At 44.8% G+C, this 15,778-nt stretch overlaps 1 protein-coding gene across 13 annotated transcripts in view; it reads right to left on the minus strand.

The window, feature by feature from the left end:
- The window catches only part of PHKA2 (phosphorylase kinase regulatory subunit alpha 2), a 91,817-nt gene that overhangs the window by 42,613 nt on the left and 33,426 nt on the right, over positions 1 to 15,778 (minus strand). For 7 of the 13 annotated variants that reach the window (XR_950461.4, XR_001755697.3, NM_001440801.1 and 4 more), the window contains 7 exons: positions 13,834 to 13,916; positions 10,168 to 10,248; positions 8,800 to 8,898; positions 6,619 to 6,765; positions 5,085 to 5,138; positions 3,717 to 3,839; positions 1,145 to 1,240 (listed from right to left, as the gene is read on the minus strand). Coding sequence is in view for 11 of the 13 variants with exons in the window: in NM_001440801.1 (NP_001427730.1) it covers positions 1,145 to 1,240; positions 3,717 to 3,839; positions 5,085 to 5,138; positions 6,619 to 6,765; positions 8,800 to 8,898; positions 10,168 to 10,248; positions 13,834 to 13,916 (683 nt within the window). In the remaining 2 variants the exon portion in view is untranslated. Of the gene's footprint in view, positions 1 to 1,144; positions 1,292 to 3,716; positions 3,840 to 5,084; positions 5,139 to 6,618; positions 6,766 to 8,799; positions 8,899 to 10,167; positions 10,249 to 13,833; positions 13,917 to 15,778 lie in introns of those variants that run through there. The other 6 variants (NM_001440804.1, NM_001440803.1, NM_001440802.1 and 3 more) reach the window with 3 other exon arrangements.

Raw genomic sequence — 15,778 nt, forward strand, 5'->3', positions numbered from 1 at the left:
TGACAGGTTCCACAGCCTCTCTGAGCTGAGGCAGACACTTTAAAAGGCCCTGCCAGTCCTGTGGCCATGTGTGTGTGGGCCTGATTGAACCACAGAACACCTAAACCCAAGTTGCCATATGCCAGGCCTCTGCTGGCTTACAACCTCCTCCAGGCCCTGGCGATTTTGGGGAAGACACGGTCCTCTGAAGGCCTTTTCATCCCACAAACACAATAATCAAGCCCTGAGGCACCAAAAGCATCCAAGGGACAGCCAGGAACCAAGAATTCTTCTTCTAACCATGAGATATTGACAGACAAATCTTCCTGCCAAGATAATAGGTCCATCATGACCCAATTTAGGAAACTTGATAGAATAAAACTATGTTTGGGCATTTTCTTGGAACTGGACTGTTTTTCTCTCCCTGATGTAGAATGGCTTCTAAGTGATTACTCAAACTCTAGCTTGCAAACTGCTTGAATCAAAGGAAGAGATTCTCAATACCCCTGTACATTGGCCTTCGTCTGTGGAAGTGTGTAAGAACACGGTGCACAATGGGTTTACGCTCTTTAGAGAGCCTGTGTCAGGGTTCGGGGAGGGACAGGTATCATTTGAAGGTCTTCAACTGCTGCCTCCCCAGGATACCCATGGTCAAGCGTGTTCCACATATTTTTCCAAAGTCATGATTCCTTGGGATAGACAGGAACACTACCTAAGGCTTTTTTTTTTTTGAGATGGAGTCTCGTTCTGTAGCCCAGGCTAAAGTGCAGTGGTGTGATCTCGGCTCATTGCAACCTCCACCTCCCAGGTTCAAGCAATTCTCCTGCCTCAGCCTCCCAAGTAGCTGGGACTGCAGGCATGTGCCACCATGCCTGGCTAATTTTTGTATTTTTTTTTTTTTTTTTTAGTAGAGATGGGGTTTTGCCATGTCAGCCAGGCTGGTCTCAAACTCCTGACCACAAGTAATCCACCCGCCTCAGCCTCCCAAAGTGCTGGGATTACAGGCGTGAGCCACCGCGCCCAGCCTACCTAAGGCTTTTGAAACCATGTTTGGAGAAAAAGTGTTCATTAGTTCGAAAAAGGGGATAAAGAATACCAACAGGCCAAGCAATGAGTCACTTATTTCTAGATAAGCGGTGCAAAGGGCCCTCTGCCACTGGGTTACCTTGTTAGGCGGGACAGCGTAGAGTTCAGGCACCAGGCGGATCCCATTCTTGCCTCTGATGAGTATTCCCTCCAGGGCCTCTCGGTATTCTTGGACCTGGAAAACAGCCCCATCATCCATGGCAGGAAGGAGGTCTGGTCATGATTGCTGTAACAGCGGTGCAACATAGAAAAAAAGCTCTCATGGCAACAGATTAGAGTTCAGACACAGGGCAAAGAAATGCACAAATACCCTCAGCTCCAGGAGTGCAGGAGGCACACTTACAGTGTTAGGAGGAGCTAAACACGATCGGCTATTCCTCTCAGGAGTGTATCTAAGCTCAGCCCTGCCTGTCTTGCTTCCAGAAAGAGAGACAGAGCACCCATCATACAGTAGCTGTTTCTTCCTCAAAATTCCTCTAGTAGTCATATCTACACTGTGTATCAGATGTCTTTCCTGTTCTGTCTTTAACTCGTCATGTAATTATTTCATTCTTAACCCCTCATATATTTAAATTTTGTCTCAGTAACCGGATTATAAACTTCTTGTGGGGGAAGCTATATCTTAAGCAGTGTACCCATTTCCACCTCTTGGTAAGTTTTCCACTTAAGAGGCATTCATTACTATTCAGCCATAAAAAAAGAATAACATTCTGTCATTTGTAGTAACATGGATGGAATTGGAGGTCAGTGTGTTAAGTGAAATAAGCCAGGCACAGAAAGATGCCACATGTTCTCACTCATGTGTGGGCGCTAAAAAAGTTGACCCCATATTAAAAATGTCATTGGGCAACAAGTGTGAGCGACAGCAAAGGTGTAGAAGGGTAGTAGATTCCATGAAGCTTAATCAACAAGACGCTAAACACAGTCATTTTCCTCTCCTGAGTTTTCTTCCCCCCATCATTGTTAAGCCTATTCACAACTGAAATTCTAAGTCAATTCTTTTGAGATCTTTCAATTCTGGGATAAAATGACAGAAAACCTAAGATAATCACTGAAGCCTAAGAGAAAGCATCAACAGTGGGGAAATATTAACATTTCCAGCTGACTGCTGGTTCTGAAGCCCCCCAGCATTCCTGAGCAGGAGAGCTGTCAAGAGCTAAAGTGAATCTCTGATTGCTCATCCCCACCCCCACCAAACATGTGATCAGAACCAGTTGAAAAAATGGCAAAGCATCTGCGATGTCAGTCATTCATGTAACCTGCACAAAGACAGGTCGGTTCTGTTCAACAAAGTATGCTCAGGGCTCAGCACAGAGCATGGTACCAAGTAGAAGCTAAAGAGATAGGTCATGAACAAATGAGAGTTGCATCAGTAAATGTTTACTGAGCACATACTATGCACTAGGCACAGGGACTATACCCGTGAACTGGAGAGAGATGGCCTCTACCAGCGTCCTTTGACAGGTAAGGGGGAGATACAACATAGTGTGACCCATGCTGTTATAGTTGTGGGTCGTAGGAGCACCTGCCCCAGCTTTTAGGGTCAGAGAAAGCTTTCTGAAAGAAGACACACTTACATTGAACCAAGGGAAGGGGGAGGGGCAATTGGGGAAGAAAAGAATGTCCTCGGCCTTTGAGAAGAGAGGAGGGCACATGGCCTGTTTAAAGGACTGAAAGGATTTCATTGTGCTTGGATCACAGAACTCAAGAAAGAAGCACTAAGAAATGAGGCTACAGGGGTGAAAGCAGGGATCAGATCATATGGAACCCCACAAAACGCATGAAGTGGTTTTCAAGCAAGCTTTCAAGCAAGGCAGTAGCATAACCTAATTTGCCTTTTAATAAGATCACTCTGGCATGGGTGAGAAGAATGGAAACAGCAGGGAACCAGGCCGGAGGCTGAGATTCGAGTGAGGAGGCTGTTACATGAAGTAAGATGTTATCCAAGAGCACCCCAAACTAGGGCTAAAGACAGCAAACCACTGGCTGATCTGGAAAGAACAACAGCAACAACAAAACCTGTCTGTGATGGAATGTTCTTGCTAGACCCCAGTGAACCACGCCTCCTAGTACTCATGCCCTTGTCTAGTCCCCTCCCGCTTGAATATGGGATGGTCCTTTAGCCAACAGAATGTGATGAAAGTGACATTTTGTCAGTTCCGGGCCTAACACTTATGGAAGCTTGGCAGCTTCTGCTTTTGTGTTCTGAGGGGAAAACAACCAACATGTAAAATTAATGGCCCAGAGACTACAATATTGTGAGAAGCCCAAGCTAGCCATGTGGAGGAGAACCAAGGCCCCCACCAATAGCACAGCTGAGTTCCCAGCATCAGCTGCTAGCCAGCATCAATTGGCCATGTGAGTGAGGCCATCTTGGAAATAGATTCTCCACTTCCATGGAACCATCCCAGCTGACAGCAGGTAAAGCAGAGACAACCTGTCCCTGCTGGGCTCTGCCCAAATTGCAGAATCATGAGCAAATAAATAAAATAGGTGTTGCTTTAATTCACTCAGTTTTGGGAAAGTTTGCTAAGTGGGAACAGATAACCGAAACAGTGACCTAAATTCTTGCATAACCCTATGTTCTAATAATAATCAGTATACCAGTGGAATGAAAATAATTATCAACGTAACACCCAGCATTTTCTCACCTGAACAGCATCACCACTGAAGACTCCATCTATTATAAAATATGTCCAAAACACAGGCCACTCACATTCAATGTTTTCGAAGAGCTTGAGTTCAGCAGGGTCATAATGCAGTCGATTAGGGTCCTAGAATCAAATAAGTCAAACTTTTAAAAGGTGATGTCAGAATACATACATAATACCATTGTGCCTCATGGGGTTTCCCATGCTTGACTGATTTTTACAGCTTTGAAGTTGGCATGAGTAGGATTTTACTATAATGAGATGCTGTTTTTGGCAGTTTGCCATGGTAATATTTCAGAAAGTAAGTCAGAAACATACACAAGACTCCTTGGTAGTTTATTATACTAAAGCTTCCTATAACTCTAACAAAGAAATAGCAATATGTCTACCACCAAGTTTGGCAGAGGATCTGATTTATATCATTATATTAGTCAGTGTGGCAAAGAAACCCGAGGAGGAGGCCACAGTCGGTCTTTAAGAAAAATGTGTGAGCCACAGAACCAGTTCTCCTTGTCTACAAGCTGGTTTTATTTATTTTTAAAATTTTAAAGAAATTTTTATTTTTTTGAGACAGGGTCTCACTCTGTCACCCAGGCTGTAGTACAATGGTGTGATCTCTGCTCATTGCAGCCTTGACCTCCTGGGCTCAAGTGATCCTACCACCTCAGCCTCCTGAGTTGCTAGGACCACAGGTACATGCCATCACACCTGCCTCACTAATTTTATTTTATTTTTTTTGTAGAGACAAGGTCTCACTATGTTGCCCAGACTGGTCTCGAACTCCTGGGCTCAAGCAATCCTCCCTCCTCAGCCTCCCCAAGTGTTGGGATTACAGGCCACTGCACCTGGCCTACAAGTTGGTTTTTTGTTTTTGTTTTTGTTTTTGAGACGGAGTCTCATTCTGTCACCCAGGCTGGAGTGCAGTGGCGCGATTTCGGCTCAGTGCAAGCTCCGCCTCCCGGGTTCACGCCTTTCTCCTGCCTCAGCCTTCTGAGTAGCTGGGACTACAGGTGCCCGCCACCACACCCGGCTAATTTTTTGTATTTTTAGTAGAGATGGGGTTTCACTGTGTTAGCCGGGATGGTCTCGATCTCCTGACCTCGTGATCCGCCCACCTTGGCCTCCCAAAGTGCTGGGATTACAGGCGTGAGCCACCGCGCCTGGCCAAGCTGGTTTTAAATGACCAGCTCACCGTCCCTACTAAAGATACTATGCTATTGCCTGGCTCCAGGCTTGCTGACTCCAAAATTAATACTTCCCTTTCCAATATTCCAACATAAAATTATAATCAGCAGAGGGAGAACAACACATTGGCAACTTAGAGATGAAACAGTTGAGGAAAGATAAGAAACAATATTTAAATACAACCTCTCTTGGAGTTTTATAACCATCTCGAAGGAAGCGACAGCATCCATAACGCCCCTAATAAGAGAAAGTACATTCGATGAGCTCAGAGAAATTTTTTTGCCTTTTTAATTCAAGTCAGCCCTGCACCCTCTTTCCCATGAATCTTTTAGTAATGAATTTTATACCAAGTGTTCTTTGCTGTCAGTATAGTTATTAATATATTTAAGTAATAAGCAAAATCAATTCAGGTTTGATCGGTACTTGGAAGGGAACGCCAAAACATTCCATCAGAGTATCAGGGCTGCAAGAGTTATTACCAAGAGTTCAGTGAACGACCATGCCTTCATTCTGATTTACTGTATTACACAGAGACCTAAAAGGACCCTCACTATTTAGAAAAGCCACCAAGGCAGATACTTGGATTGGTTTGCTCCTACTTGCAAGATTGGAAAGCTGCAAGGACATTCCCCAGGCTCCTGGAAGTTAGGCTTTGGCTGCAGAGGAGGCTCTAAGGTCAGATGCACCTCCACAAAGATTAGCAGAAAGGGAGGGGGCAGCTTCCTGTGCTTAGGACTGTCGCTGCTGGTTTTGGGCTGCAGGCTCCAGGGTTCTGCCCCAGCTTCCTGGATGCTACGAAAGGAGGGCAGGGGCAGCACTCTCTTAATCTGACGCCCTTAATCCATAGATCACAGCTTTGGGTGTCCATTCTCCAGTTCCGTAAGTATGTGGAGGCTGCTACAGCAGATGTGGCTCTCGCGAGGGTCATGGAGGCAACCACGTCCCTAGCCCTAGCGACCAGCACCGCACTGTCCTGGGAGTCATCCCAGGAGGCTGAGCCTAGAACCCGCTCTTCTTGTAAACACTTCATTCTCTGTATTCATTCCCTTCCTACTTCAACTACCTAAAGGGGTTCCCTTTTTCCCACTGAACCCTGACTGAGACAGCTGCTTTCTTTTGGGAATATGATTGGAGACATAGGGACTCCAAGGGACAAAAGCATTTTTCATGGAACCTAAGTAGGACAATCAATCTGCAGATTTCAGCTTAGGGAAACTTACATTCTTTGATAATTTTACCGATAGTTTCAACTGGCTGGAGTATTTAATATTCTCAGTTTAGTGTATCACGGTTACTGCATTTCACCTCAAAACAGGGATTATTTTAACCTGAAGGTAACTTTGGGATTGGCAAGTCCATTGAAATTGTGTGTAAAGTTTGAGGATATTGGGACATATGCATTTTTTTTTCTGGCAGTGACTCTATACACTGTCTGTGACCTCTAAAGGGTTAAGTAGCTCTGCCTTAGAAGTATGGTACTGGTACAAACTGGGGTTCAAAGGTGCCTGCCTGAGTGCCAGTTCTGCTTCTCAAGGAGAGAACCAAGCCACTAAATCACTCGGAGACTTTGTTTTCTTGCCTGTAGACTCAGCTTTGAACGCTGTATGCATCTGCTTAGATAAATCAAGCAATTAACCTCATGGGGAACTGAGGCATGGGTGAGCTGCTCCATGCACATCACACAGGACAGAAGGGCACCAGCATGACTAATGCTTACCTGGAGCTTAGAAATAATTTCATTTTTGGTCACATTTACAAGGTTTACATCTTCCACTGCAAAGGCCGGGAAGGAAATAATGGAAAGAAGTCCAGCATCAATTTCTTTAGATGTCGACGCTCTTGGCAGCATGGAGAACAGAATAGACTGAATGAAAAACAAAGAGGTGGTTTAACCTGGAGATGCGCTAATAGGCGCAGTATCTAGGGACCATGAGCTCGGCCCCAAGGGAACATTCGAATACGGTTGCCAATTTTGAGTAGAGCTTTGTCCTACCAACATGGCCCCTGCTGGCCAACACTGTATATCCAGCCAATGATTCCTATTCCTCAGGCGAGAAGTCAGGGCTTGGGGAGAGCATGGTACTGTCTGAAGCCCACGCTAAGAACTGCTTGTCTCCCTTCCTTCCATGCCCTATTGACTTTGCCAGACCTTTAGGACATGTAGGGGAGGAACTATAGGGCCACCTGTGTCAGTAGGCTAAGCTGTCTTGGCTATGAAGACAGAGACCAGAAAAGAACACATACATGGGGCCAGCTTGGAGAAATGTCTGGCTTCTGTGGAATGTGACCAGTTGGACTGGGTGATCCAGAAACCACTTAAAGGAGGAGTCAAATCCAGAAGATCTCATGAACACTCAGACAAAATGGTAAACCACAGAATTAGTTTAGTCCTAGAATCTTTCTAGGGTTACTTAGAGGCACTATAATATGGCCTCAATTATAAATAAGTGGCTGGATTAGGCGCTGGAAACTTGTAAAGGAGTTGAAATTATCAGGAAAAGTTTGGGAAAGGAAGGAATTAACACTGAGATCTAACACGTACAGACATGGGGCTAGACCCCTGCAAACATAAGCTCATTGAATCTTTCATATGAAGAAGGACTTAGGGTACCATGTCCAATTCACACCTGAGGACCCTGAGACTTCGAGCAGCTAGTAAGTGACAGAACTAGGATTCTAACTCAGGCCCAGCTGGCTGCAAAGCTCACGCATTTCCACTGGATTACACATCTATTAAGATGCACACCACGTCCAGGCACAGTGGCTCATGCCTGCAACCCCAGAGCTTTGGGAGGCTGAGGTGGGAAGATCACTTGAGGCCAGGAATTGGAGAACAGCCTGGGCAACAGAGTGAGACCCTGACTTTACAAAAAAATTAAAAAAAAATTAGCTGGGTGTGGGTGACACGTGCCTGTAGTCCTAGCTACTTGGGAAGCTGAGGCGGGAGGACTGCTTGAGCCCAGTAGTTTGAGGTTACAGGGAGCTATGATTGCACCACTGCACTCCAGCCTAGGCGATAGAGTAAGACCTCCTCTTAAAAAAAAAAAAAAAAAATAGACTATACCCCAAGAAATACCGGGACTACCTAAAGGGGAAAAATTGAGTGAGCTGGAAGATAGGGTCAAGATGGGTGGAACCCTTCAGCTTCAGAATAAAGCTTTATTTTCTATAGCCAACTGAGCCCAGGGCCCTGTTCTGTAACTCACTCTTCCCTAGGGTTTCTCTGCCTGGAAACACAAACTTCTACCAAAGCTCTCCATTCACAAGTCTTTATGTATCTGACCTTCTTTAGCCCCAGCAACGTACTTGGCACACAGCGGGCCCTCGCTAAATAAGAGTTTGCTGAGGGCCTAGCAATTGATGACGTGCACTCTGCTCAATAGAATCCTCCAATCTGTATTAGATCACTCCTTTCTCTGACCTGTATTTCACAGAGGTTGTACTAATTTCCCATCTTTCCCATCTCATTTCTTCTCCACTACCTATTTCACCCATCCCCAACCCCTCACCCCCAAGTGAACTAGTGCTTGCTCATCATTCAATTTGGGGGCACTGTGAACTAAACCTGAAAGAAAACCATCTATGTGCTCAAAAGACATAAAACAGACTTTGCCTCTTGCAAAACAAGGCTGCTTGGATTGCTGATTCCATCTATACAGCATCATGGTGTCTTATACTTTTCTGGCTTACAAAGTGCTTAGACAGACTAAGTTGACTGATTCTTACAACTAGCTTGTGAGGCCAGAGGGTCCAGGATGCCCATTTTATGGGTGAGAAAACTGAAGCTCAAAGAAGCAAAGTATCACCAAGCCAGCAAGGTGGGGAATCTGCACTGGATCCCAGGCCTTCCATGCCAGGACTCTCCTTCCCTGCTCTCTGAAATGCAAGAGGCTATTACCTGGCAGTGCTCGACCTCATCTGGCAGAACATGAATCACTGACTTGCGTCCTCCATGGGCTCCAAAAAGGTCCAGTTCATCAATTGCCTCAAGAGCTGCCTACAAACACAGGTATGAGTTACTTTTTCTTTCTAATAAACATACACTCCAATATCTGGTGTTCCTTTTTCATTAAGCAATCTAGTATACATGTTTTCCCAAAGGTAATGAAACACATTTTAAAAATCCAGCTAGACTCCTGTAGTCATGTTCTAGTCTTTTTTATTCTTTTCTTTTCTTTTTTTTTGTAGAGACAGGGTCTCGCCATTTTGCCAGGGCTGGTCTTGAACTCCCGGGCTCAGGTGATCCTCCCATCTCGGCCTCCCAAAGTGCTGGGATCACAGGCGTGAACCACTGTGCCCGACCCTATTCTTATTTTCAGTGGATCAGAGCTCTCCTGTACATTGCTGCTCATTATGGAAACAAGAAAGAGAAAACAGAAAAACATTTTCCCAAGTGAAGTTAGTGTTCTACCTAAAAATGAATTAACAAGTTCATAACGTTGTGTGTGTGTGTGTGGGTGTGTGTGCACTAAATTCATGGTCGTCTTTTCTCTCACATGTTTTAACAGTTAACTTCAAACATCTGGCACTTCAGAAAGTTAATTCTTTTAGTAATAAGTACACTTTCTGTCTGTTTACTTCAATAGAGCATATTTTTTGTTGCTTTAAAAATTATAGCCCTGGAGGCTCTACTCTGTCCAAAAAATACATTACATTCTGGAGGAGGGAGGGAAGGAGGCACACCATATGTCTATGGCAAGAGAAGCAAACTGGTGACCCACAGATCGAATCTGCCCCATAGGTGTGTTTTGTTTGGCTTGAAGAGTATTTTAAATGAGTTTGAATCAGAGTACCTTCAGGGAAAGTTTCCCAGTGTCCCCAATTCCTCCCCTGACCCCCACCTTGCTGTCTGGCTAGTTTCACTTCGTACTGTTATTTGACTGACCTTGTAGACTTTTGAACTTGTGAGTCCAACCTACAAAGTGGTGATATTCTCCAGTCCTCTCTGTGACCCAGAAAAGAAGACTGGACATCACACGTGCAGCTTCTTAAACAACAGCAAGAGCTTAGACCCATGGGTGATGGCAGCAGCTAACCAGGACGGAGCACTCTTACTTTCTGCCATGGGCAGATTTCAGCATTGGAAACCTACCTTCTTTACCTAGAATTTCAGGTGGCTGGGGTAACTGTGCCACTTGAATTTCACATCCTTGATGCTGACTTTTGACAAATATGCTAATCAGATTAAATACAAACTCCTGATGAAGGGAACCAAATCAAAGCAGTAAAAACATGCAGAAGGAAGAACAAACAGGACAACTGTCACCTTGGCCATTCCTACGGAGCTTGCATTCAATTCCGGGATGCCCTGATTAGTCTTATCTCCACGCTCCCACATTCCATAATCCTGGGGGAGAAAAAGGTGGGAATCAGAGGGGAGAAAGAGGTATATAAGAAGTGCTATGGGAAAAATGCTTCCTTTATGTTCCTGCAGCCACACTGAAACATAAGTGGATCTTCTCGGAGGCTTTGTAGACTCATACTGTGCTCTTCCTCAATTTCAGTTCATGCGACCTCTGTGCAGAATTTTAGAAGAAAATATTCAAGTGGGACAAAAGTGCATGCCACAACACTCTCAAATTTCTTATTTCTTATTTCTAGAAGGTATTCATTTGTAAGAAACTCTGGATGTATGGAGAACAAAATATTTTATCTTCTTAAGATTGAATAAAATGCTGCCTCTCTAGTCAATGCCTTTGAACTTATATTATGTTGTAAAATGGAAGACAGAAACTTTAGCACATGGGTCATAACTAGTCAAAGCCAGCAAAAGCATTTAAAATAATTTAGTACTTATTTTTAGCATTACCTCTTGGGGAAAAAATGCTCAGCAAGTAACTGGAGCCAAAGTCACAACTGAGACACAGAACACTGAACCTACGTGGTATTTACAAACCGATTACTAGGGATTGGCTCACAATGCTGGCACCCAGAGGACTTGATACATGTGTACCTAATGTATAATTCATATTTTCATTAAAAAATCCACATATGGGATGCTGTTTTAAACAATTCTATGTGTACTACTGAAAGCTGACCACCCAACACACACAAGACTGATGCCAACATTTCAATCTTTATTTTTTATCTCCAAAAAAGAATATTTTCTTTTTTTCTTTTTTTTTATTTTTATTTTTTGAGATGGAGTCTGGCTTAGTTGCTCAGGAGTGCAGTGGCGCGATCTCAGCTCACTGCAACCTCCACCTCCCAGGTTCAAGCAATTCTCCTGCCTCAGCCTCCCGAGTAGCTGGGATTACAGGCGCACACCACCACACCCAGGTAATTTTTGTATTTTTAGTAAAGACAGAGTTTCACCATATTGGTCAGGCTGGTCTCAAACTCCTGACCTCAGGTGATCCACCTGTCCCAGCCTCCCAAAGTGCTGGGATTACAGGTATGAGCCACCGCGCCTGGCCAGAACATTTTCAAAATATAGAGATTGAGACTCGGGCATCCTAGAGCAACTTCCCTGCTGAGCGTGCCTGGTGACTGAGCCTGGGCTTCTTCCCTTGAGCACTCTTCTCATCTGCGCCTTCCTGCAGCCCAACCCACCTTTCCTCCAACCCCGGCACTGGGTGATTCATCCTCAAAAACTGCTTTGATTGCTGCTTCCCCTTGTTTCAGGGTCTAAAATGACAAGTGGTGTATTTCCTAGTGGATCACATTCACATCTCTCTCTCTGAATGGCCATATGCCCCATGATTTGGCCTCCTTAGACACACCCACAAGCTGAGAGTGGAACATAAGATCCACTTATGTTCTACTCTTTTCCAATGTCAGCTTTCCTCCTAAATCTACTCCTTTCCTCTGTACCCTTTTCCTCAAGCACCCCCTAGCCCACCCAGCCACACTCAGAGCCTGTTCCTGCCTCTGGGACTGCACAAGCTATTCCTGCACCCAAACTCCCTATCTCCTCCCTTCTGCTGATCTAGACTCTGCTCAGCTTCCAAGGTCCAACTCAATGCCCACCCTTTCCACAAAGACTTCTCAAGTTTCTTCAGACCAGGGTTTGTCAACTTCAGCACTATTCCATTTCGAGCCAGGTAATCTGAGTCATTGGGGTGGGGGGAGGGGGGCCTGTGCATTGTAGGATGTCTAGCAGCAGTCCTAGTCTTGGCTCACTAGATGCCACGAACACCTACTGACCAGGTGCGACAACCAAAAATGTCTCCAGACATCGCCAAATGTCTCCTGGGAGGGCAAGATTGCCTCTCGTTGGGAATCACTGCTTTAGACCTGGGGTCAGGGAACTCCACCCAGTCTTTGGAACAAATCTAGTTTCCCACCTATTTTTGCAAAGTCTATCTGGGACAGAGCCATGCTCATTTATTTACGTGTTGTCTATGGCTGCTTTCATGCTACAAAGGCAGAGCCAAGTAGCTGCGACAGAGACCCTAGGGCCTGTAAAGCCGACCATATTTACTCTCTGGCCCTTTACAGAAAACCTTTGCTGACCTTCCTTTAGACCATAGTGGCTTTTTTAAAACCAGCCTTTACCTTTTCCCTCCTTCCCTGAGAGCTTTACACACTGGGGTTGTTGTGTAAAGGTGCCTCAGGCTTTGCCTTCCAAACCAGACAGAAGCTCGGAGGAAAGGGGGTTTATACACATTTATACTCAGCAAATCTGGCCCAGGCTGGGGCTCTGCCTGGCTCAAGCCCCTCTACCTGTGGCCTGGTTGGGGCGACGCTCATGGCATCCCAGCTCCCACCAAGGTGCTAATGCTGCTACCTCTTTAGCCCCAACTCAAGCCAGCACATATGCATCCCGTAGGACATGTTAGGATCTTATTTCAAACAAGCATAATGGGAACTACCATTTAATCCAGCAATCCCACTCCTGGGTAACTACCCAGAGGAAAAGAAGTCATTAGACAAAAAAGACACTTGCACATGCATGTTTATAGCAGCACAATTCACAACTGTAAAAACATGGGACCAACCAAAGGCCCATCAGTCAACGAGTAGATAAAGAAGCTGTGGTATATATATGATGGAATACTACTCAGCCATAAAAAGGAATGGATTAATGGCATTTGCAGCGACCTGGATGAGACTGGAGACTGTTATTCTAAGTGAAGTAACTCAGGAATGGAAAACCAAAGATCATATGTTCTCACTCCTAAGTGGGAGCTAAGCTATGAGGATGCAAAGGGATAAGAATGACACAGCGGACTGTGGGGACTCAGGGGGAAAGTGTGGGAAGCGGGAGAGGAATAAAAGACTACAAATAGGGTGCAGCGTATACTGCCCGGGTGATGGGTGCACCAAAATCTCACAAATCACCACTAAAGGACTTTAATGTAACCAAACAGCACCTGTTCCCCAATAACCTATGGAAATAAAAAAATTAAAAATAAAATAAAATAAAACAAGCATAATGGGCCAGGAGTGGTGGCTCACGCCTATAATCCCAGCACTTTGGGAGGCCGAGGCAGGAGGATCACCTGAGGTCAGGAGTTTGAGACCAGCCTGGCCAACATGGTGAAACCCCGTTTCTATTAAAAATACAAACATTAGCGGGGAGTGGTGGCAGGCACCTGTAATCCCAGCTAATCAGGAGGCTGAGACAGGAGAATCACTGGAACCTGGGAGGCAGAGGCTGCAGTGAGCTGAGATCATGCCACTGTACACCAGCCAGGGTGACAGAGCGAGACTCTGTTTAAAAATAAATAAATAAACAAAATAAATAAAAAAATATAACAAGCATAATGGATTCAGACAGAGCACAGAGTACATTCCAAAAACCTGAAACCCCCAACTCTATTCCAGGACAAAAATATGCAGTTTGTGTGTGGAGGTGACACAATCTCATAGCGCTAGTCTCGCTAACCTTTTGGTGAGCCCCAAACAGCCTGGCCCTCAAAACACTGTATGATTTTTATTCTTTTTGTTGACTGGAACATCTGAAAAGACTACCAGGGTTGATACTTACAGCGACTTTATATGCAGCTTCTATGTAAAAGACAAGATTCTGTATGAAGGCCACCTCATCGAGAGTGAAAATGATACGTAAGCCTAGCAAAGAAAAACAATGAGGTTATGAAGCCATGTTGCAGAGAGCTGCCAGTCACAAATTACAAATATCACACTAGGAAATAAACCCTTTTACCCTCATTTTCATTTTTCTTCCAAAGGCATCAAAAATGAAGTCTTAAGTAAGGCATAACAGTGAGTGTCTAATCTCCGAAAAGAGGGAAGGAAGGAGGGAAGGAAGGAAAATAAGGAGAAGGAAAGGAAGGGCTCCACTTTCCTGTGTGTGCCTATGAGTAGAAAGGGATGAGAGAGATTTGGGACCTCTGGTACAGGTTGGATTGATGCGGGGAAGGTTCCAACAGAGCAAGGATTTTAGTCCAGAAGAACCAGAGACACTGTCTCTATCTTTGAGAGAGCCAAAGAGAAGGGTGAATACTTTTCCCAGTGGGAGACAGGGAGTCCCCAGCTCCAGGAGCTGGCCTTCCACCCTGCAGAAAAATATAGTCAGTTATAACAAATACAGGTATTTTTAAAGTATGAATTCTGGAAGCTGCTATGGATATGATAGGAAATGGACTCTTACATCAATGAGGGCAGCTTAACTAGTAAGCCAGATTAGAATTTCAATCAGAACTAAGTTTAACTAGAAACTGAAAACAATTTGGCAATATATATGAGTTGCCTTTGAGTGATATCTAACTCTCAGAAGGAAGTAAATGAAGATGGGGTCAAAGTTGGTATTGCAACATTAGTTATAGTAGCAAAATAAAAGAAGGAAGGAATAGTTAAATTAATTATGGTATACCCACTGATAAACTCACTAAAATAATGTTTATGAAGAGCTTGTTATATCACGGGAGAAGTGCTTGTTATAACGCTACGTAATAAAAAGACTATGTTTATGTGTACAATGTGACCTTAAACATGTAAAAAATGCACAGGAAAAAAGACTTGGAGAAGATGCAGCCAAATGAAAGTTGGCAGTGGAATTTTTTTCTTTGTATTCTGTTATATTTTCCAAAATATCTACAGTGAGCTCATATTAACTTTCATAGCCAAAACGTAACTTCATAAATGTGTGATTTATTCACACAGCCATAACAATACTGCTTACTGATTTCTGGGATTTTGAGAGTTTCACACTTGCAGTCTGCAATGAATGGGAGGCCTCAGACACATCAGTTGACTGGACTGGTAGGTGATAAGAACTCCCAGACATAGCCGTTAAGTGCCCTAACCTGGGGGAGCATCTGTGGCACATGCCATTGTGAGAGAGAGACCACCTGGTGTGAGACCCTAGTGGGAAAGAGAGAGGCCTGGCGTCCAGGCTGCCACAGAGGCCAGCGGCTCTGGCTTCAATGGGAACAAGGCACACCGCCGACAAACTGTGAGCCTACTCAGCCCGCTGAGTAGCGGGCTGCTCAGCCCGCTCTGGGCACACTGCTGAGTGGCAGAAATGGTGGTGCTCAAATATAATTTGGAAAAGTGAGGGTGTGTCTAGAAGAGGGTGACCAGGGTAGTGAGTGGGAGAGCTGAAAGGACAGGGCTGCTGATCCTGGAGGAGAAAAGTCTAAGAGCAGGGGTGAGATGGTCTGCAGACAGCTAAGTGTCAAAGTTAGACCAGACCTAGGTGGCTCCAGGAACTAGGAGAGAGTGACAGTAAAGGGGTTCTGTGTTCAACAGAGGGAAGCTAAGAGAGCCAGCTCAACGGCCTTTACCCTGCTGGTGCCCAGGTGGAGGGTGACTGTCCTCTCTGCAGGTTACAGGCAGGGTCCCTGCACTCCCTGCCCTATTGCAGAAACAAATGCACAGAATATGGAGAAGCATGCTTTTCTTTTGTGTAAACTGCTGATTTATAATACTGATTGCTACGGTTTGAATGTGTCCCCTCCAAAATTGAGGTG

The sequence above is a fragment of the Homo sapiens genome, chromosome X (assembly GCF_000001405.40).
Source record: "Homo sapiens chromosome X, GRCh38.p14 Primary Assembly".
Classification (NCBI taxonomy): domain Eukaryota; kingdom Metazoa; phylum Chordata; class Mammalia; order Primates; family Hominidae; genus Homo; species Homo sapiens.